This window comes from Homo sapiens, chromosome 14 (assembly GCF_000001405.40).
Source record: "Homo sapiens chromosome 14, GRCh38.p14 Primary Assembly".
Taxonomy (NCBI): domain Eukaryota; kingdom Metazoa; phylum Chordata; class Mammalia; order Primates; family Hominidae; genus Homo; species Homo sapiens.
Window position 1 is genome coordinate 89,876,677 of NC_000014.9, and position 22,108 is coordinate 89,898,784.

Consider the following 22,108-nt stretch of genomic DNA (forward strand, 5'->3'; position numbering starts at 1 on the left):
TCTTGGCAGCGCTGCCTGTCATGGCTAAAGTTAAGTGAATTCCAATCCCCGTTTATGCATCTGCTCTCCCAGACTGCAAGGTCCTTGCCTGCAGGACATGTCTTGTTCAGTGTTGTAACTTGGAGCACCTGCACAATGCCAGGCTCCTGGTAGAAGCCCAACCAACACTGAATGAAGAAGCTCTACAACGGCTGTAGGACCAGATCTTCATGAACTGATGCCTACATCCTGCTTACAAGGCAAGAATGAGCCCACGGACTATCCACAATTGATGTCTACATCCTCTCGTAAGGCTAGGATAGGTCAGAGAGGCATGTTTGACTGAGATAGTCAGAGTACTATCTACTCCCAGAGTAGATGACCAAAAGTTTTTTTTTTTTTGAGATGGAGTTTGGCTGTGTCGCCCAGGCTAGAGTGCAGTGGTGTGATCTCAGCTCACTGAAACCTCTGCTTCCTGGGTTCAAGCGATTCTCCTCCCTCAGCCTCCTGAGTAGCTAGGATTATAGGTGTGTGCCACCACACCTGGCTAATTTTGGTATTTTTAGTAGAGACGGGGTTTCATCATGTTGGTCAGGCTGGTCTTGAACTCCTGACTTTGTGATCTGCCCGCCTCGGCCTCCCAAAGTGCTAGGATTACAGGCATGAACCACCGCACCCGGCCAACCAAAAGTATTTTTGAGTGAAGTCAAGGTTACATGCAGTGAAATCAGGTAATGGGGCCAAGAAGAGGTTCTAAAAGGGCAGAATAAAGTACACTGGATAGGATTACTACTGGGTATAAGAAATCTAAAGATAATTCAGAACGAGGTGGCGAAGGTGCACATGATCTTATTTCCTTGCTTCTCTAATACCATTTTCCACAATTTAAAAATTTCTAAATTTGCAAAGCATCTTGCAATTGTTGGTATCTTAGCAGTGTGTCACAGTTTAACAGGCAGAACTTTTTCTGTCATTAGTGGTACATAATATGATGGTGCCCCTAGAATCAATGGTGTCTCAGATTTACTAAAATATGGTATTTTACTCCATGAAAGGGTTTGGCAGTTGTTTGGATCTACTGTTTTAATTAAAAGCACTCAGCTTTAGCAATGGGTAAATCCTAAATACAAATCAGAGTATCTCAAAAGGCACCCCTTCATATATTAAGACATTGGATAACTATTTTGAGAGGCACTGCACACTTTAATTTACCACTCTCAACCTCAAAACACTGAGCAGTAAGAACTCTGATTGGCAGAAGCACTGTGAAGCTTTATCATAAGTAATGACATGTAAGTCCCAAAACTCAATAATAAAAGCCTGATTATTACCACTTTTGTTCAATTGCTTCCACGTGTGTTATTAAATCTGTACCTTTCTTCCAACGCTACAGAACGTTGGTCATTTTCTCAAATGGATAGGGGAAAAAACAAGGTTTGAGATTCTATGATTTCAAAAGACAGATGACTAGGAGAAAAATTCTAGCTTGCAGGTGGGACGTACTAAAAGATGATCTGAGCAATGTTTTGAGACAATAATCCTTTCATTAGATGACCCCTGTGGTAGTGTGGTATGTGGGGTTTGTATTGCTTTTAGTTTTTACAAAGTCAAATCTAAAGCCATATAATGGAAATGCATTCTATTTTAACTGCCAGGTATGGGATGAATTAATTTACTTGTTTATTTTTAAATGCGTCTACTGGCCTTTAGAAGCTATTATTTATATAAAGGTACTTCTGAACTTTACAAACAGGTCAGATGCTACCCACTATTTAAATATTTACAATAAAGTATTAGAGATGTATAAAGCAACAATCCATATCCAAAACAAGAAAATAAAAGATGAAAATCATCTCCAAATGCCCTTCTAAATCACATTTAAATCATTTTTATAGATTTGTTTTATCATACTGTATTAAAATATATTTTCTCAAAATATTCAATTATATGAATGTCTAAATATATCTTCACAGCTTTATATATAAAGAATATGGAGTACATTTTACATAGCAATCAATATCTCTACTTTGAGCAGTTATTTTAATGATTATTATAATTCAGTATCTAACTTTTTTAAAAAACTGACCTAAGAGACAATAACAAATGTGGGTCATTTATCTCAAACTTCTTTGAGGTCTAAATTCATTTTCTTTCTTGGCTCTTCTCATTTTCATCTTGTATCTGACCACTTTACAAGACACATGTCTCTTCTTTTCCATAGTTCCTTTTTCATTCTTTTTTTTAATTGCTTGTTGCTAAGCAATGTGCATAACATTAGGCTATACATTTCATTATCTTAAAACAATGTCTACTTGGTATTATTTTCTTCTATTACTTTACCTTGTTTGAATTAACCCAAAATGTACTTTCTGCCTTGTTTTGACCTTTCTTTTGCCGAGACATGATCCCCCCATCTCCCTGTCCTCTGATCATTACTAAACTGCTATTGTATTCAATATTTAGCCCATTTTTTTTTCTGTTCTCCACTGTTTTTGTTAAGCTCTGGTGGACAAACTCTTACATCATATGACTATTTTTCTTTTTAGTGTACTCGATCCTACTTCCTTCTTTTATATTTAAAGGCATTAGAAAGACACCTTTTATGAAATTCAGTTCATTTCCTATTATTTTCCTTTTATCACTTTTGCTATTCTAGATGTTGGTTCCTTTCAGCATCATAGCCTGTGTTATTGTTCTTTTCCTGACACTTCTTCTTTATGTTAGTGATATTATTAACTATGCTATAATCCTATAAAACCATATTCCTTATTCAATTTAAATTTGTTCTATTTTTCAGTGACTTACAATGCATTTAATTTATCTGGCTATGGTAAGCTACACAAAAAAAAACATAAACATGCCACCCCTCCAAAAAAAAAATCAAGGACCAAACAAACAGAAAAACTCCCAAACACTTCAATTACTTACAAATATATACCATAATTTTCTTTTACATATGTCTGAATAAGTATTTTTGAAGAAGACTAAGAGCATACTTTACTTTTGCCAAACCAAGTTAATTTGTAGGCTAATTTGCACTGCTGGGCTCATATAGACTCTTGTTCCTATTATTATTCATGGAGACAATAATTTTTAAACGAGGGTATGGATGGTTTATGATTCAAGATTACCCAATATTCAGCTTGACCCACTCTGAGTATAACCTTATAAGCCTGCATTTTCTAATTATAAAAAGAGAAAAGTGATGCTTCTTCCCCTATTACAACACAGGGATGTTACAGAAAACTTTTAGCAAAATTCATTACGTATAAACTCTCCAGAACAAACCTGTTCTATCAAAAATGCCAAATATATGTGTGGGTACGCATGTCAGCATTGGTATATCCTCTTTTAAGATTTGGCCTATTAATAGTTTTTCAGTTTCCATTTATTCTAAATGTTGTGAGTATACCTTTCTTAGTATTTACTGTATGACTCGGCTATGTTCTGAACATTTGTGTCTCCCTAAAATTCATATGTTGAAACCTAATAACCAATGTGATGGTATTAGAAGGTGGGGCCTTCATAAGAGTAGGTCACAGGGAAGAGCCTTCATGAATGGGATTGGTGCCCAAGAGGCCCCAGAGCACTCCCTTGTTCCTTTCCACCATGTGACACACCATTCCATGAACCAGGGAACAGGCCCTAACCAGACACTGAATTTGCCAGTGAGTGCCCTGATCTTGGACTTCCCAGCCTCCAGAAGTGTGAGAAATAAAATTCTTTTGTTTATAAGCTACCCAGTCTATGAAGTTTTGTTATAGCAGCTCAAAGGGACTAAGACGAACTGCATTCTCCTGAATACTGGACTGCATAGGCAGATGAAGGTGCTCAAGTTAACTGATGTCATATTAAAAGAGTCTTAAGAATATTTCAAATTGATCCTAAACTGAGACTTCACTTCCGTTTTTCTTTTCTTTTGAAGGTGTTTTATAATTAGTTGAAAAATAATGAAATCGAAATAAAATAGAAAAAATAAATACTAATTACTTCACAGAAAAAAAATGATAAAAACACACCAGCTGTGTCAGTCTATAAGCTCTACGACCTCTTGAGAGGCAGTTAGTGTAGCTGTTAAGAGCGGACTTTGGGGTTAGTCTGCTTGGTACTTATCTTGGTTATTTCACTAAAATTAAACTAATATTACTTGTGGGACAGTACAGCACAGTGGTTAAAAATACTAACTCTGGAGTCATACCACCTGGGTTTGAATTCTCACTTAACCACTTACATAGATGCCTACATGCACATGGAAAGTTACTGTGCTTCTGCATCTCATCTTCCCCATCTATAAAATGGGGAAAGGATAGAAGTCAGAACCATGGTCCATCAGGTCCACTGATGGGTGGTACCACAGAAATCACAAACACACGTCACCCTCTCCTGTGGTCTCTGCAGGCACCCTGAAGTGACTATCCCAATTACTCTGCATTCTTATTACCCTATTTATTTATTTATTTATTTATTTTGCATTTAGAACAACTGGTGATTATATGGTTGTTATCATTGGTTTAGTTTACTTGATACTGTTTTGCCATTTAATGTTACAGAACAAAATTGTCTACTTCACACCATATCCCCAACTGCCTAGCTCAATGTAAGCAAGTAACAGTTGCCTCAATAAGTCCTTGTTAAAAGAAGTAAAAGGCTGAATAACTGAGCTCTTCATCAACCCCCATATTTAGAGATACACAAAAATCTCAGTTTCTCCAAAATCCACTCTCTACCCATCAATAAAATTTTTATCTAAACTATTTTTAGAGCTACTTATATTTTTGGTCTACTTTATGACTTGGCATATATATATATATTCTTTTTTTTTTTCTTTGTCACCCAGGCTGGAGTGCAGTGGTATAATCTCGGCTCACTGCAAACTCTGCCTCCCAGGTTCAAGTGATTCTCCTGCCTCAGCCTCCTGAGTGGCTGGGATTACAGACATTCACCACCACACCTGGCTAATTTTTGTATTTTTAGTAGAGGCGGGGTTTCACCATGTTGGCCAGGCTGGTCTCAAACTCCTGACCTCAGGTGATCTACCCACCTTGGCCTCACAAAGTGCTGGGATTACAGGCATGAGCCACTGTGCCTGGCCTGGAACTAATATATTTTCAAATTCTACTACCAACTATACAAAATCTGTTCTAAATTTTACTTGTCTTAAATTTTCCTTCATTAAAGAGTAAAGGTATGAAGTTGACAGTGTGCATGCACTTGAACAAAAATAATTTCAAACCTGGGTCTACAACCAAGATCAGTAGCATTAAACATAGGAGCATGTATGCTTAGGGTTACATAAGCAATGTAGTATTACTATAATCAATTAACAGAACTTTGACTTCTATTTATAATGCTTCCAAAAACTGGTTTGCTCAAGAGCACCTGTGTGGAGCTATACTGGTTTTCTAATCCCACTTCCCCTTTCAAACACCTTTTTTCTACTTTACAAAAGAAAGGCACATTTCTTACCTAACATGAATCTTACAATCATGCATTGCCTGAGTGTTGAAAAACTTCCTGGGTGCCAGAGGGACGAATAAAATATTGGTATCTGTGAAGACTTTATTCAATGCATTATAAACTCTTCATTGAGAGGTTCAAATACTACCTTGTCTTATTATTTGTTTCTGTTAAGGGTGAAGCACAATGGGAAATGTATGTGCGGCATATGTTGAGATGGTCTAAATTCAAATATGTTATAGAATACTGATCATTTTGATATAGTGACTTTGACTCTTTCCCCACCATGGACAAAGAATGCACTGCCCTGGGAGAAACTCCTACAAAAGGAAGCCAAGAGATCATCTGTGAGAAACCATCTGTGATGTTTCATTTCATCCAGGTGAAAAACCTACAGCAAGTTTCTATGACTTCTCTCACTCTCTCTCTTTTTTTTCTCTCTCTATCCATTCACTCATCTACTCACCTTAAAATAAGGTTGCTTAAGATTTATATAAGCAATGATGGGAAATACCGATTTCCTACAGAGTGTACCTTCTTTGAATTTTCACTGTTCTTAGGAACAAGAAAAGGCCTGGTGAATGTTCTACCCACCTCTCAGTCTGTGGCTCAGTTACATATAATATACAATTTAAAGAAGGCAGAGCTAAAAAGTCCTACAGCTACCGCTATGGTTTGGATGTTTGTCCCCTCAGACCTCCAGCTGAAATTTGATTCCCAGTGTTAAAAGTGGGGCCCAATGGGAGGTGTTTGGGTCCTGGGGGTGGAAAAGTGGGTCCTCATGAACAGATGAATGTGCTCTCTTGGGGTTGAGGGTGAGTGAGTTCTTACTCTATTAGTTCCCACCAGAGCTGGTTGTTAAGAAGAGCCGGGCGCCTCCCCACTCTTTCTTTTGCTTCCTCTCTTGCCGTGTGATCTCTGCACATGCCAGCTCCCCTTTGCCTTCCACCAAGAGTGGAAGAAATCTGAGGCCTCACCAGATGCAAAACGCCCAATCTTGAACTCTCCAGCCATCAGAATTTTTAGCCAAATAACCCTTTTACATTATAAATTATCCAGCTTCAGGTATTCCTTTAAAGCAACACAAATGGACTAAGATAGTTATCTTAACATAATAATATTCTAGTACATCTTTGAATAAAAGAAATTGATATTAGAGGAATGTTTTGTAGTTTCTTGAAAATTTGTTCAGACTCACAAAAGAAATACTGCCATTAAGCTTTGTCAAAAGGTGACTGAATATATAAATATAGTCATCGCTTGGTATCCATGAAGGACTGGTTCCAGGACCTCCCATGAACACTAAAATTCATAGATGCTTAAGTCTTTACTATAAAATATTGTAGTATTTGCATATAACCTAAGCACATCCTCTTGTATACTTTAAATCATCTCCAGATTATTCATAATGCCTAATACATTGTAAATGGCATGTAAACAGTTGTTATACAATATTGTTTAGGAAATAATGACAAAGAAAAAAGTCTGTATATGTTCAGCGTAGATGTAACTTAAAAAAAATATTTTCTGTCCTCAGTTGGTTGAATCCACAGACATGGAACTTGCTGATATAGAGGGCCAAATGTACATTTACTTTTTATTTGGACACAAATGCCAAGTCACCTGTCACTTCTAAACCACTTCTCTGTTCATTTAATTATTCTTCCCAAGTACCTGTTAGATATAGACAAATTTAACAGCATTGTGGAATCTACTACAAATAATGTCCATATAGTCAGGTACAGTGGCTTACATCTGTAATCCAGCTACTCAAGAGATGGAGGTGGGAGACTGCTTGAGGCCAGGAGTTCAAGACTAGCCTGGGCAACAGAGTGAGACCTCATCTCCAAAAAAGTTTTAAAAAACTAGCTGGGCATAGTAGCACATGCCCATAGTCCCAGCTACTCCAGAGGCGGAGGTGGGAAGATTGCTTGAGCCCAGGAGTTTGAGGCTATAGTGAGCCATGCTCTCACCACTGCACTCCAACCTGGGCAACACAGGGAGACTCTGTCTCTAAAAAATAATAAGAAAACAGTAATTTTTAAATGCCCTTAACAAAAAAAAATTATACAATTGTATATCCTCTAAGCCTCACATTTACTAATGGTACAATAGTTCTATTTTTACTATTGGTCTACTGCATATCATCATCACATTAACAGGGTAAAGGAGAAAAATATGATTATGGCAACATGAGCAGAAAAAGCATTTAATAAAAGTCAGTATTTATTCATGATAAAATTTCTTAGCAAAGCAGGAGCTCCCTTAATCTAATAAAGGTTATTTATCCCCTAAAAACATAACAAAACCCAAAAACCTATTGCATATTCCATAGTTAATGTGAAATACTAAAGTTTTCCCCTCCCCCCACCAAGATGGGGAAGAAACAGGATACCTGCTCACATAACTTTTATTTATCACTATGTGGGAGACCCTAGCTGATATAGTAAGAAAAGAAAAAGAAATCAATGACATAAGAATTGGAAAAGAAGAAATAAAACTACTATTGTTTGAAGATGACTTGATTGCATGCCTAGAAAACATAAAATATATACTATTACAATTACTAAGACGAAGTACTAGAATAAGTTAACTTTGTATTATGTACTGAATGTGTGTGCCCACTCCTGCTCTAAATTCTGTGTCGAATCCCTCACCCACAATGTGACAGTATTTGGAGGTGGTGTCTTTGGGAAGTAATTAGGTCATGAGAGTGGGACCATCATAAGGGATTAGTGCTCTTATAAGAAGAGCAAGAGATCCCCCACTCTGTGCACATGTCCAGGAAAGGACCCAGAAGCACACAGCCAGGCAGGCAGCCATCTGCAAGCCAGGAAGAGCCTCCTCACCAGAACCAGACCATGCTGGCATCTGATTGCAGACTTCGCAGTCTTAAGAACTGTGAGAAAATAAATTTCTGTTGTTTAAGCCACCCAGTCTATGGTATTCTGTTACAACAGACGGACTAGACTAAGACATTCAGTCATGCTGCTGGTGTAAGACCAGCATATAAAAAACAATTGTATATCTAAATAAGTAGAAAATAAAATTTAAAAATCTATATAACTACATAAAAACCAAATATTTCAGAATTATCTGATAAAATATGTGTAAAACTTTTACATTAAAACTACAAAACAGCAAGGAAAGTTAAATAAGACCTTTAAAAACAAAAGGATATACTTTATTCATGCACTGGAAGACTTAAAACATTTTGGCATTGTCAGTTCTCCCCAAATTGATCTAGTCTAAAGATTCAATATAAATTCAATTAAAAACCCAGCCAGCGGGCGTGGTGGCTCAAGCCTGTAATCCCAGCACTTTGGAAGTCTGAGGCAGGTGGATTACGAGATCAGGAGATCGAGACCATCCTGGCTAACATGGTGAAACCCCATCTCTACTAAAAATACAGAAAATTAGCCAGGCGTGGTAGCGTGCGCCTGTAGTCCCAGCTACTTGGAGGCTGGGGCAGAAGAATCGCTTGAACCTGGGAGGTGGAGGTTGCAGTGAGCTGAGATCGCACCACTGCACTCCAGCCTGGGTGACAGAGCAAGACTCTGTTGAAAAAAAAAAAGAGAGAAAGAGAGAGAAAGAGAGAAAGAAAGAGAGAGAGAAAGAGAGAGAGAGAGAAAGAAAGGAAAGAAAGGAAAGAAAGAAAGAAAGAAAGAGAGAAAGAAAGAAAGAAGACAGCAACTAAAAGAAAGAAAGAAGGAAAGAGAAAGAAAGAAGACAGCAACTTTTGGGTTTGAAGTTGGCTTCTTGTTTTTTTCTTTTTTTTTCTTTGGTGGAAATTGAAAAACTGACTCTAAAATTTATTTTAAAACACAATGGGCTAAAAATAGCCAAGATAATTCTGAAGAAAACACAAAGCTCTAGGACTTACACTGCCAGACATCAAGATTACAAAGTTATATAATAAAGAGAGTGTGATACTGGCACAAAGATAGACAAACAGACCAATGCAACATAACAGAGAGTCAAGGGAAGAGTTAATGTTGCAGCCTCAAATCTGAAGGCAGCCTGTGGGCAGAACTGCTTCTTCCCTGGGGGACCTACATGTTTTCTCTTAAGGCATTCAACTGATTAGATGAGGCCCTCTCACCTTATAGAAAGTGATCTGCTCGGTCAGGCGTGGTGGCTCATGCCTGTAATCCCAGCACTTTGGGAGGCCAAGGCTGGTGGATCACGAGGTCAGGAGATCAAGACCATCCTGGCCAACTCTGTGAAACCCCGTCTCTACTAAAAATACAAAGAAATGAGCCGGGCGTGGTGGCGGGTGCCTGTAGTCCCAGCTATTCGGGAGGCTGAGGCAGGAGAATGGCATGAACCCTGGGGGCGGAGCTTGCAGTGAGCTGAGATCGCGCCACTGCACTCCAGCCTGAGCAACAGAGCGAAACTCCGTCTCAAAAAAAAAAAAAAAAAAAAAAAAAAAGGAAAGTGATCTGCTTTACTCAAGATCTACTGATTTAAGTATATCTTAAAAATATCAAGACTGGTTTTTGATCAAACACTGAGGCAAATATGACAAATATTAAGACAAGATAAAGGGAAGTGGCTGAAATGCAAGTGTTACACCATATTATTCTCCATACTTTTCTATGTTTAAAATATTTCTAATGGACACAAAGAGATCAAAGTATGTATTTAGTATCTCGATATTTGGAAAGACTCCTGATTTATTGCAGTTTTGGTAATTTACAGCAGATACACAATTCTCAGAGACAGCCCAAAGAGTCAGAAAATTTAATCAGGCTTAGAGATTAAATATATCCATTGTTAACTTTTTAGTTAGCTAATTATTATAACCTAAACCTAAGGTCAGTCTGGATACCTTCTTCACATCCTAAATAATCCACAGAAAATCTTATAGATTTGAATTAACAAAGATCAAATACCATACTAATATAAACAGATTGTTTTTATAGTCTTTAATAAATTCATTAATTTATTCAACAAGTGCTCTGAACTAACCTGAACATCCAGAGGTATTCAAGAACAGACAACATCACTGCTCTCATGAAGCTTTATAGTCAAGCCTGACAGATAGACAATAAGGAAACAAAAACAAAAATCTTCCCTGAGATTTGCTAACTGCTATGAATGACATAAAACCAGGCAGCAGAGATTTACTGGGGATGGGAGATGGAGTGAAGTCACTTTGGATAGGAAAGGCCTCTCTGATGATGTGATATTTAAACAGGGAACTACAAATGCAAAGATCTGAAATAGAAGGTAGCAAACAACTAGATACACATGATCACATAGGAGTAATAAATTAGACATAAGCTTTCTAAGCCTATGGAAACACAGGGCCATTTATCATGTGTAGTTTGAAGTTTTGGAATTCTTTTTAAAAAGTAAAACTAGAAATAATTTGTTTTCTATCCATAAACATTTAAGTAAGTGTCATGCCTAGGTCATATAGCATGACTCCTTATGTGGTATTTAAGTAAAAACAGTACTAAGGTATTAAATTGAAATAAAGTAACACTGAAAATAAATAACAAGGAATCCTTAAGGTATTTACTGAAAGAAACCAGTAAAAGTCAACCTTTTTCTTACATATGTACCAACCATTTAGAAAAGACAACAGACTGTAAATATATTCCTGGGAACAGGTGTTATGGAATAAAGAAAGCAAACTTAGGCAGGGATCAAAAAAGCAGGTGACTATGAACAGTAAAATAATATTACAGTAAGACATTAAACATCTGTATCATATTTCAGCACGTGTTAACACTCGCATTTTTCTTGAAGCTATAATATATTTTCTTGGAAATGGATATAGCAAATAGTGAATCTTCTCATTTCAATTCTAAAAAAATAATCTAAAGTATACTTGTAGAGAGGCAAGCTCTTAGTTATCAGCTATATCCCAGATGGCCCTCTAGCAGCATTTAAAGGCCATGCCCTTAAGTCACTGTTCAACATACTGAGGTAGATAATACGGCCAATACAATGATGAGAATTACAAAGAAGGAAATAAAACAGAAAATGCTGTTGCTATGGTCTGAATATTTGTGCCTGCCCCAAATGCATATGTTAAAACCTAATCACCAATGTGATGGCTGGAGGTGGGGCCTTTGGAAGGTAATTAGGTCATAAAGGCTGAACCCCCATGAATGGGATTGGTGCCCTTATAAGGGGCTGAAGAGACTAGAGTTCTCTCCTTTCACCATATGAAGACTGTAGTAGGCTGTTCTTGCATTGCTATAAAGAAATATCTGAGCTTAGATAATTTATAAAGACAAGGTTTAGATGGCTTATGGTTCTGCAGGCTTTACAGGAAGCATGGCGTTGGCATCTGCTTGGCTTCTGGGGAAGCCTACAATCATGGCAGAAGGTAAAGCAGGAGCAGGCATGTCACATGGCCAGAGCAGGAACAAGAGTTGGAGCAGGGGAAGTGCTACACACTTTTAAATGGCCAAATCTCACAAGAACTCACTAACATGAAGACAGCACCAAGCCTTGAGGGATCTGTCCCCATGATCCAGACACCTCCCACCAGGCCCCACCTCCAGCATTGGGGATTACAGTTCAACATGAGATTTGGGTGGGAACAAATGTCCAAACTATATCAAGGACACATTTAGAAGGTACCATCTGTGAACCAGAAAGTGGGCCCTCCCCAGACTCCAGATTTGCCAGCTCCTTGCTCTTGGACTTCCCGGCCTACAGAAGTGTCAGAAAAAAATTTCTGTTGTTTATAAGCCACCCAGTTTATGGTATTTTTATTATAGCAGCCCAAATGGACTAAGACAGCTGTCCTGTCTTTGTTTATAAAACCATGGCGCTGTGATACTGTCTCTGTTTGCAGTTCTAATTGCTAAATTTCAGAAAATACCAAAAGGGAAATACAGAAAGAACCATGGCAGTAAATTAGTGGTCAAGGACCAGACAAATGGAAAAAACAATTCAAATTCTCCAACCCAGAAGAAACACAGAGGCAGAGAAAAGCCTATGAGATCAGGAAGGGTTTGCATGATAATTAGAATGATTTTTCAAATCTGAAAATTAAGAGCCATGAAACAACACTGAAGATTAAAAGGGGCTGTATGAAGACAATTTCTTCCTTTTTTTGACAATTTATTTTAATCACCATTTTAAGGAAATGTATGGAACATCTTATTCATGAGGTGAGACAAAATGAAAGTAATTTTCAAAAAAACCCAAATAAAGTATTGGATAAAATCATGGATTCGAAGCCTTACTATGAATCCTGTTTTACTACTTATTAGCTGTGAAATATGAGACAAATTTTTTAACTTCTCTATCCCTCAGTTCCCCATCTATGAAATGGTGATTGTGAGGATGAAACGAGTAAAGGGCTTAGAACAGTGCTTGCCAAATGGTAAGTGCTTAAAAAACTTCAGCCACACCTCCACATGTAGAAAAAAGTTAAGACAGCAGACCTGACTGCAATTCTGCTTACAAGCCTGGCCCTTGACTGGCATCTGGGAACTTGGATTTCAGGAAGGTTCCTACCACCATTAACTGGTAAGAGTTGATCACTGTGCTTAAAACTGTTTGTGCAGACAACATGGCTCCCACTGAATACTTGCTTTCCTTCTGCGAGTCTGAAATTTTGGCACATGCCAGACAGAGAATGCCAGTGTGATCAGCCCACAATTAAACCCTGGGCACTGAGTCTCTACTGAGCTTCCCTGGTTGGCACATTTCACATGTTTGGTCACAGCTTACTATTGGGGAATTGTGTTCTCTGTGACTCCACTGGAGGGGAACAATGGGAAACTGGCATCTGGTTTCCCCTGGACTTCACCCCATGTACCCTTCCCGTGTGCTGGTTTTGCATTGAATCCTTTCACTGTAATAAATCATAGCCATGAATACGACTGTAGGCTGAGTCTTGGAAGTCCTTCTAGTGAATCATCAAATCTAGCGTTGGCCCTTGGGGACCCATCAACACACTTGGACACAGTTAATCAATTATTTTGTCGTAGGTATAAGTACTATAAAATGCACTTTTATAAATATTGAGTTCAAGTTCAAGAAAAGTGATTTTTAGATATAATACCTTGATAAAAACAGAAACACTGCATGATTTCTTCTCATAAATAATGAATGCAATAAAAATGTTAAGCTTCAATGACATGATCACTAAATTACATCAGTATTTCCTAATACTATGGTTTTAGGTTATACGAAAATAAATATTTAGCTTACAACTTCTAAATGATATTCAATATAAGAGCAATAAAAGGTCAGAAATACTTGGTCATATTCTTTAAACAGCAATAGAAGATAAAGTAAAGCTAAAATGCCAGAATTACTAAGCTTTAGAAATGCATTACTGATTTTATATATTTTCTATATCTCTTACAAATAAGTGATACTCTTTTCTAACACTTAATAATTCTTATTGTCTACCTAATAAATCAATATTTGGAAAGCAGAATTTAGAAGGAAAAGTTTGGGAGACAAAGTATTTAAGAATTCACATGAGTTTCTGTTTTTGGATACTCAGATCAACTCCCCACTGCAAAAAACTAAAGATGCTGGATAAGACACTAAAACAAAACCACCTTAAAAGGACTGAAAAATTAAAAAGAGCTGCCAGGCCAAATTCTTGAGGCTAGCTTGAACCCAAAGAGGTTAGTGGAAAGAAAGTTGGCATCCCAAAGCCACCTTTGCCCTGAAGGCATTCACTCACATCGTGCACTGGGGCTGCGGTCTGGTAGCCTCATGGGGAGACGAGGCCAGAAGTGAAGATCCAGGACTTTGCCAATTTGGATCATCTCACAGGATAACTTTCCCACATTAAGCTGAAATCCAAAGGACTACATGAAAGTTTCCCTGGTGCTGAGCAAAGGAGTAAGAGAAAAATGAAATAAAAAACGATCATTCACCCCTGAGAAGTTATGAGTGTTGACTGACCCTCACTGGGAGAGTCCCTGGGATCCTAGGTCTAAACATACCTTGAGTGAATACAGAAACTTCCATCTGTGGATTTGTTTTAATATAGTCCTGTACTGACTGTGCTACAAGGAGCCTGGCAAAAACACATAAACCACTCTGATTTCATCCTGGACTTGTGGAATTCCTCATAAATTATTTTTCAAGGTCGGTGAGCTCCAGAAAGTTGAATACAAACAAGTTTACAGGGAAACTAGTCACCATGAGCAAGAACCAGCAGAAGCAGACATAAATAGACTTCAACTAGAGGTTCTATGTTTAAAAATAAATAACTTGAAGTGACTTCAGGGAATAGAAAACTATAAGATGTAACAGAGGATTTTAATAAATGTTTATAACCTTTTAATACCTTTGTACTTTTAATTCATTAAAATTACTTAAGAGTTTGAGATATTATGGTAGAAATCAGAGTTTTTCAAAGTAGCAGAAAACAATGTATTGTCAGAAGCAAGAGGTTTCTGATTATGTTTATAATTAAAGTTATAAAATTTCCAAGGCAATATTTTATTTATATTAAAATAGCAAAATCTGTACCAAATATAAAAAGAGGGAATTCTCCCTAATTCACTGTATGAGGCCAGTATAAGCTTGAAATGAAACAAAACAAGAAAGGAAAATTACAGCTCCATTTTAGACACAAACACACACACACACACGCACGCGCACACGCACACACCACCCTAAGTAAAATATTAGCAAACTGAATCCTACTGTGCATTAAAAAGATAATAGGATAGGGACGCGGCCATGGAGGCCGAGGGCTGCCGCTACCAATTTCGGGTCGCGCTGCTGGGGGACGCGGCGGTGGGCAAGACGTCGCTGCTGCGGAGCTACGTGGCGGGCGCGCCTGGCGCCCCACAGCCCAAGCCCGAGCCCACGGTGGGCGCCGAGTGCTACCGCCGCGCGCTGCAGCTGCGGGCTGGGCCGCGGGTCAAGCTGCAGCTCTGGGACACCGCGGGCCACGAGCGCTTCAGCTGCATCACCGGGTCCTTTTACCGGAATGTGGTGGGTGTCCTGCTGGTCTTTGATGTGACAAACAGGAAGTCCTTTGAACACATCCAAGACTGGCACCAGGAGGTCATGGCCACTCAGGGCCCGGACAAGGTCATCTTCCTGCTGGTTGGCCACAAGAGTGACCTGCAGAGCACCCGCTGTGTCTCAGCCCAGGAGGCCGAGGAGCTAGCTGCCTCCCTGGGCATGGCCTTCGTGGAGACCTCTGTTAAAAACAACTGCAATGTGGACCTGGCCTTTGACGCCCTCACTGATGCTATCCAGCAGGCCCTGCAGCAGGGGGACATCAAGCTAGAAGAGGGCTTGGGGGGTGTCCGGCTCATCCACAAGACCCAAATCCCCAGGTCCCCCAGCAGGAAGCAGCACCCAGGCCCATGCCAGTGTTGACTCTAGGAGAGAAAGGGTTAAAGCAGTCCCAGCCTTAGCCCACCTGGTGGGATGGGGAATGTTAGTATCTCTCTGGAGGACAAATGACAGAAGGGTTCATATAAACAGTATCCTGACACAGTCATGCTTCCTGGATTTTAGAGTCAAGGGTTTCTACAGAAAAGAAAGGTCTGATGGCCAGGCATGGTGGCTCACGCCTGTAATCCTAGCATTTTCGGAGGCCAAGGACAGCGGATCACCTGAGGTCAGGAGTTCGAGACCAGCCTGGCCAACATGGTGAAACCCCGTCTCTACTAAAAATACAAAAATTAGCCAGGCGTGGTGGTGCATGCCTGTAATCCCAGTTACTCCGGAGGCTAAGGCAGGAGAATCGCTTGAACCCAGGAGGCAGAGATTGCAGTGAGCCAAGACTGTGCCACTGCACTCCAGCCTGGGCAACAGAGTGAGACTCTGTTTCAAAAAAAAAGAAAAGAAAAGAAAAGAAAGGCCTGAGAGCCCAGATGTGCAACTTCCTGTCCTTGAGCCTCAGTGTCCTTATCTATCGATGGGGCTCATAAAAGATCCCACCTTGCAGGGAGGTGGTGACCACGAATGAGATAGTGGACAGGATGTGCTCACCCAGAGCCTGCCGCGCTGTGAACTGAATGACAAAAGCTCTCATTCCCACTCCCTTTTTCTTGGCTGTGATGTGCCCACTCTGGCAGCATTCCTGGGCTCAGACACTGAGAAGCCAGCGTCAGGAAGCTGCTGCATGAGCAAAGGCAGGTGCGGGAAATTCCAAGGGGAGCTTGGCTTGGAGGCTCCTTATGTCCTCAGGCTAAAATGATTCTGGGAATGGGATTAATATGTGATGTCAAACCCAGGGTTGCTGGGTTTGCCCCCACCCTAGGCCCAGGGGCTGAAAAATGGATGTTGGAGGCTGGGATGAACACGAATGTGCAGCAACTATGTTGGGCACACAGTGGCCACTGTGATGAGCCACCAAGATCCCCCTTTCTGGCTGGGGAACCCATCAACCCTCTCCCCAGCTGCTGAAGTGCCGCTGGATGATGGACTTCAGCTTGCCCCACTCTCTGGGAAAGGCCCTCCCTTCAGGGCAGCCCGTATCCAAAGTCCATCTCCTGGGGGGCCTTAAAGGCCTTTCCCTCTTGCCCCAGCTCTGGACAACTCTGAAAGTCAAACCCAACTTTATCAGTCTCTGTGGGCTTCATTGAGGACACTGTTGTGACATCATAGCCAAGTTATCCCCCTGCCCAATCCTGCTTCCTTTTCTTCCCCAAACAGGTATCCATTTCAAGAATATCCCCTAATAAACATCTGCACACTCGTCTCCAAAAAAAAAAAACAAACAAACAAAAAAAAAGATAATAGGATAGTAAACTTGGGTTTATATCAAAAATATAAAAGATGAATTGATATTAAAACTATACATACATATACACAGACATGTTATTCATCATATTAATGAATTTCAAAAAATAACATCTCAATAGATACAGAAAAAGCATATAGTGAAATTTAATGCCAATTCTTGATTTTTTTTTTCTTTTTTTGAGACGGAGTCTCTCTCTGTCGCCCAGGCTGGAGTGCAGTGGCGCGATCTCGGCTCACTGCAAGCTCCGCCTCCCGGGTTCACGCCATTCTCCTGTGCCCGCCATCACGCCCCCGGCTTATTTTTCGTATTTTTAGTAGAGATGGGGTTTCACCGTGTTAGCCAGAACGGTCTCGATCTCCTGACCTCGTGATCCACCCGCCTCAGCCTCCCAAAGTGCTGGGATTACAGGCGTGAGCCACCGCACCCAGCCTTGATTTTTTTTTTTTTAATTTAAGTTCTGGGATACATGTGCGGAACGTGCAGGTTTGTTACATAGGTATACAAGTGCCATGGTGGTTTGCTGCACCTATCAACCTGTCATCTAGGTTTTAAGCCCCACATGCATTAGGTATTTGTCCTAATGCTCTGCCTCCAGTTGTCCCCCCCACCTCCGCCCCCGACAGGCCCCCAGTATGTGATGTTCCCCTCCCTGTGTCCATGTGTTCTCATCAATTCTTGATTTTTAAAAAACTCATGATAAACTAGACCAGATAAGAAATTCTTTAATCTGAGAAAGGATCTAACCCCTACGGCTATGATCAAATTAAGTGATAAAATATTGAAATCTTTCCCTTTGAGTTTCAGAACAAGACACTATCACCCCTGTAAGTCCTAGCCAGTGCATATGTCAGCAAAAAGAAATAAATGATATAAGGATTGGAACGGAAGAAATAATTACTATTTTCCACTGATGTCATTATCTTTGTGGATCCTTAAAAATCTACAAAGTTAACAAGGTTGTTAGCTAGAAGATTAACATACAAAAAGCAATTTCATTTCTATTGTTTCTACAAGTAATTTAAAAAACATAATTTTCAAAAGCTACTATTTACAATAGCAACAAAAACGATAAAATATGTAGGAAGAAATCCAACAAAAGAAGAAAAAAAGCTGTGTGCAATATAGAGTAGTAATTAAAAGTATGAACTTTATATCCAAGCACCTTGGGCTAGAATCTTGCCTCTACTATTTACTAGCTGTGTGATCTACAGTGAGTTGATTAACCTCTCTGTGCCTCAGTTTCCTATGTGCAATATTTCATAATAATAGGATCTACCTCAAAAGACTGCTGTAAAAACTGCATACAAATAGAATGGGGGTTGGCATATAAGAAATACAGCGTAAGTGAAAACCAATGTGATTATGATGGTGACAGCAGTGTGATGGTTCAGAAAAAGAATTTTCTGAAATATCCAATGAAAAATATATTTATGAATAGGAAGACAATATTATTAAGATGTCAACTTTCCAGAAATTCATCTGTAAAGTCAATGTTAATCGAAATCTGAACAGTTTCTGGTTTTTAACAAGCTAGTTTCTGGAATTATTATGAGAAAACAAAGAGCTGGAAATAATCAACACACTGCTAAAGACGAAAAATAAGGAGGGAGACTTGCCCTACTGGTATTAAGATTTTATGAGGACAGTGAGAAATTGGTGCAGAGACAGATTAAGTGACCAGTGAAACAACAGAAAACACAGGAGCAGAGGCAGCAAAGCAGAACAGCAGAGAAAAGAGGGCACATTCAATAAACAAAGCTGAAAATACTGATTGTCCATATGGAAAAGGTGAAACTGGGTTCTCACACACGCCCTATTCATAAATCAATTCTAGAAGAATTACAGATTTAATTTTCAAGAGCAAAACTGTAAATTTTATGAAGAAAATATAGGTAATAGGTCTCTGACTTTGGGGGTAATGAAGGGTTTCTTAAACAGGACACCAGCCCTCTAACTATGACAAAGATTCATAAATTTAACCAAACTAAATTTACTTATGTCTGAAAAGTCACTTGAAGAAAGTGAAAAGACAAGTCACAAGCTGGGAGAAGATATTTGTTAACTAGACCGAATATTTGTACTGAGAACACATATAAAGAACACATTCAAATCAATAGAAGATGCAATCGAAAAATGGGTAAAAACCATGAACAGGTATGTCACAGAGGAGACTAGTAAATGTGAAGAGATAAGAGAGAGAACTCATCATCCATCAGGGTAATACAAATCAAGCCGACAATGAGATATTAAACCCACTCAACCGGGAAAGATTAAGAAGTCTGGCGGCCGGGCGCGGTGGCTCACGCCTGTAATCCCAGCACTTTCGGAGGCCGAGGCGGGCGGACCACGAGGTCAGGAGATGGAGACCATCTGGCTAACATGGTGAAACCCCGTCTCTACTAAAAATACAAAAAATTAGCCGGGCGTGGCGGCGGACCCCTGTAGTCCCAGCTACTCACTCACAGGAGGCCGAGGCAGGAGAACGGCGTGAACCCGGGAGGCGGAGCTTGCAGTGAGCCGAGATCGTGCCACTGCACTCCAGCCTGGGTGGCAGAGCGAGACTCTGTCTCAAAAAAAAAAAGAAGCCTGGCAAGAGTTGGAGAGGATGCCCATCAACAGAATATACTGTTGGTGGGAATGTAAATTGATATGAATTATTGAAAATATCATTTGGCATTATGATATTCCAGCACTATCTAAGTAAACATTCGTGTACCTTACAACCTAGCAATTCCATTCCTAAGTACATATCCAGAGAAGCATTGCACATGGGCACTAGGAATTATGACACAAAAGTGTTCATACAGTATTAATAAGAAGAGAAAAAGGAAACAAAGACAAACTGTGGTAAATCCATACAATGGAATGCTATACTATTTTATTTTTTTAGAGACAGGATCTTCCTCTGTCACCCAAGCTGGAGAGCAGTGGCACGAGCATAGCTCACTGAAGCCTCAAACTCCTGCATCTTCAAACTCCTGCAGGCCTTGAACTCCTGGGCCCAAGCGATCCTCCCACCTCAGCCTCCACAGTAGCTAGGGCTATATGTATGTGCCACCACACCTGGCTAATTTTTATTTTGTATTTTTTGTAGAGATGGGGTCTTGCTTACTGCTTGGCGAGTCTTGAACTCCTGGCCTTGACAGGTCCTCCCGCCTTGGCCTCTCAAGGTGCTAGTATTATAGGCGTGAACCACTGTGCCCAGCCGCTAAACACATTTTAAATGAGTGAATTATAGATAAAACAAGGATAAATATTAGAAACACTATTGAGTGAAAAAAAGCAAGTCACAAAGACTACATACATTTGAAATTCTTTTTTACAAAGTTTAAAAACAAGGAAGATTAAACATTAGAGAAACATATAGGTATATATATGTATATGTGCATTTTTTTTTTTTTTTTTTGAGATGGAGTCTTGCTCTGTCACCCAGGCTGGAGTGCAGTGGCGTGATCTTCGCTCACTGCAACCTCCGCCTCCAGGGTTCAAGCAACTTTCCTGCCTCAGCCTCCTGAGTAGCTGAGACTACAGGTGCATGCCACCAAGCCCAACTAATTTTTTCTATTTTTAGTAGAGACAGGGTTTCACTGTGTTAGCCAGATGGTCTTGATCTCCTGACCTCGTGATCCACCCACCTCGGCCTCCCAAAGTGCTGGTATTACAGGCATGAGCCACCGCGCCCAGCCGTGTGCATGTATTTTTAAAGCACGGGAATAATAAACACTCACTTCAGGATATTGGTTCCTATGGAAAAAGGCAGGAAGATAGGATGGAGGAGTGTGCGGGTATATGTGAGTTAATGGTAATATTGTAGTTCTCGGGTTGACTGCATTAATTTTATTGTTAAACACACTAACTTAAATAAAGCAGTCGCACATGGAAAAATTATGTTTAAAAAATTAACTATACACATTTACAAATTTACATCTAGTTACAATCTGATTCATAGTATTACACCATAGTTTTAATTTATGCAAACTTAATATGCCATTTTGGAATAATTTACCATAACATTTAACTTATTTATACAACCTGTTGGAAAGACTAGCATGTAAATACGGTTGAAAATAAGGAAGGAAAACAGTATACATTATTTCCATAAAGCTAATTTAAGCAAGTATGATGAACAGTTCCTTCAGTACTAAGAAACTGAAAAGATGTCATCAACAAAAAGCTAAAAGCACTGAAACCTATGTTTCTGTGAAACCTAAGGAATTCTAGCTAAGGAAATCTAGAAATGCACACCAACTTTATAAAAATAAAGAATAACATTATTATTCTATAATCCATTACAATGGAAAACACACTGTGCCAGGGGCCAAGAACCCTGGGTCCTAATCCTATTCCATGCCCACATTCACCCCCAACAAGGTGTGAGGCCTTGCATGGGTCATTTATCCTCGCATGTGTAAAATAAGAGACTGTACCACATGCTCTTTGAGGCTCTTTTTATGGTGAAAATCTATGCATGACCCTACAAGAAACTGTTCTTATGAAGAATTAGCAAAATCATGATGTGATTTTCTTTTTCTCGTTTTTGTTTTTGTTTTGTTTTGTTTTTTTGAGACAGGGTCTTGCTCTGTTGAACAGGCTGGAATGCAGTGGCACGATCTCGGCTCACTGCAACCTCCACCTGCCAGCTTCAAGCAATTCTCTTGCCTCACCCTCCTGAGTGGCTGGAACTATAGGCCCATGCCACCATGTGTGGCTAATTTTTGTATTTTTGGTAGAGACAGTGTCTCACCATGTTGACCAGGCTGGTCTTGAACTCCTGGTGTCAAGTGATCCACCCACCTTGGCCTCCCAAAGTGCTGGGATTACAGATGTGAGCCACCGCGCCTGGCCTCTTTTTTTTTTTTTTTTTTTTAAGGAGGCAAAGTATCACTCTGTCATCCAGGCTGGGGTGCGGTGGTACAATCGTAGCTCACTGAAACCTCCAATTTCTGGGCTCAAAGGATCCTCCTG

General features: G+C 39.7%; 1 protein-coding gene and 1 pseudogene across 3 annotated transcripts in view, besides 2 other annotated features; one reads left to right on the forward strand and one right to left on the reverse strand.

Moving 5' to 3' along the window:
* EFCAB11 (EF-hand calcium binding domain 11) overlaps positions 1–22,108 on the reverse strand; it is a 160,109-nt gene that overhangs the window by 82,008 nt on the left and 55,993 nt on the right. The window lies entirely within an intron of this gene.
* Positions 5,364–5,483: a silencer, noted in NCBI's record as "silent region_6003". NCBI's record gives its function as "represses an Ori minimal core promoter by ATAC-STARR-seq in GM12878 lymphoblastoid cells {active_cell/tissue: GM12878}" and the evidence as "EXISTENCE:reporter gene assay evidence [ECO:0000049][PMID:35858748]".
* RAB42P1 (RAB42, member RAS oncogene family, pseudogene 1) lies at positions 15,108–16,434 on the forward strand (annotated as a pseudogene).
* Positions 16,131–16,686: an enhancer, noted in NCBI's record as "H3K27ac-H3K4me1 hESC enhancer chr14:90359151-90359706 (GRCh37/hg19 assembly coordinates)". NCBI's record gives its function as "activates a minimal SCP1, AML or CMV promoter by ChIP-STARR-seq in naive H9 embryonic stem cells {active_cell/tissue: H9 hESC(naive)}" and the evidence as "EXISTENCE:reporter gene assay evidence [ECO:0000049][PMID:30033119]".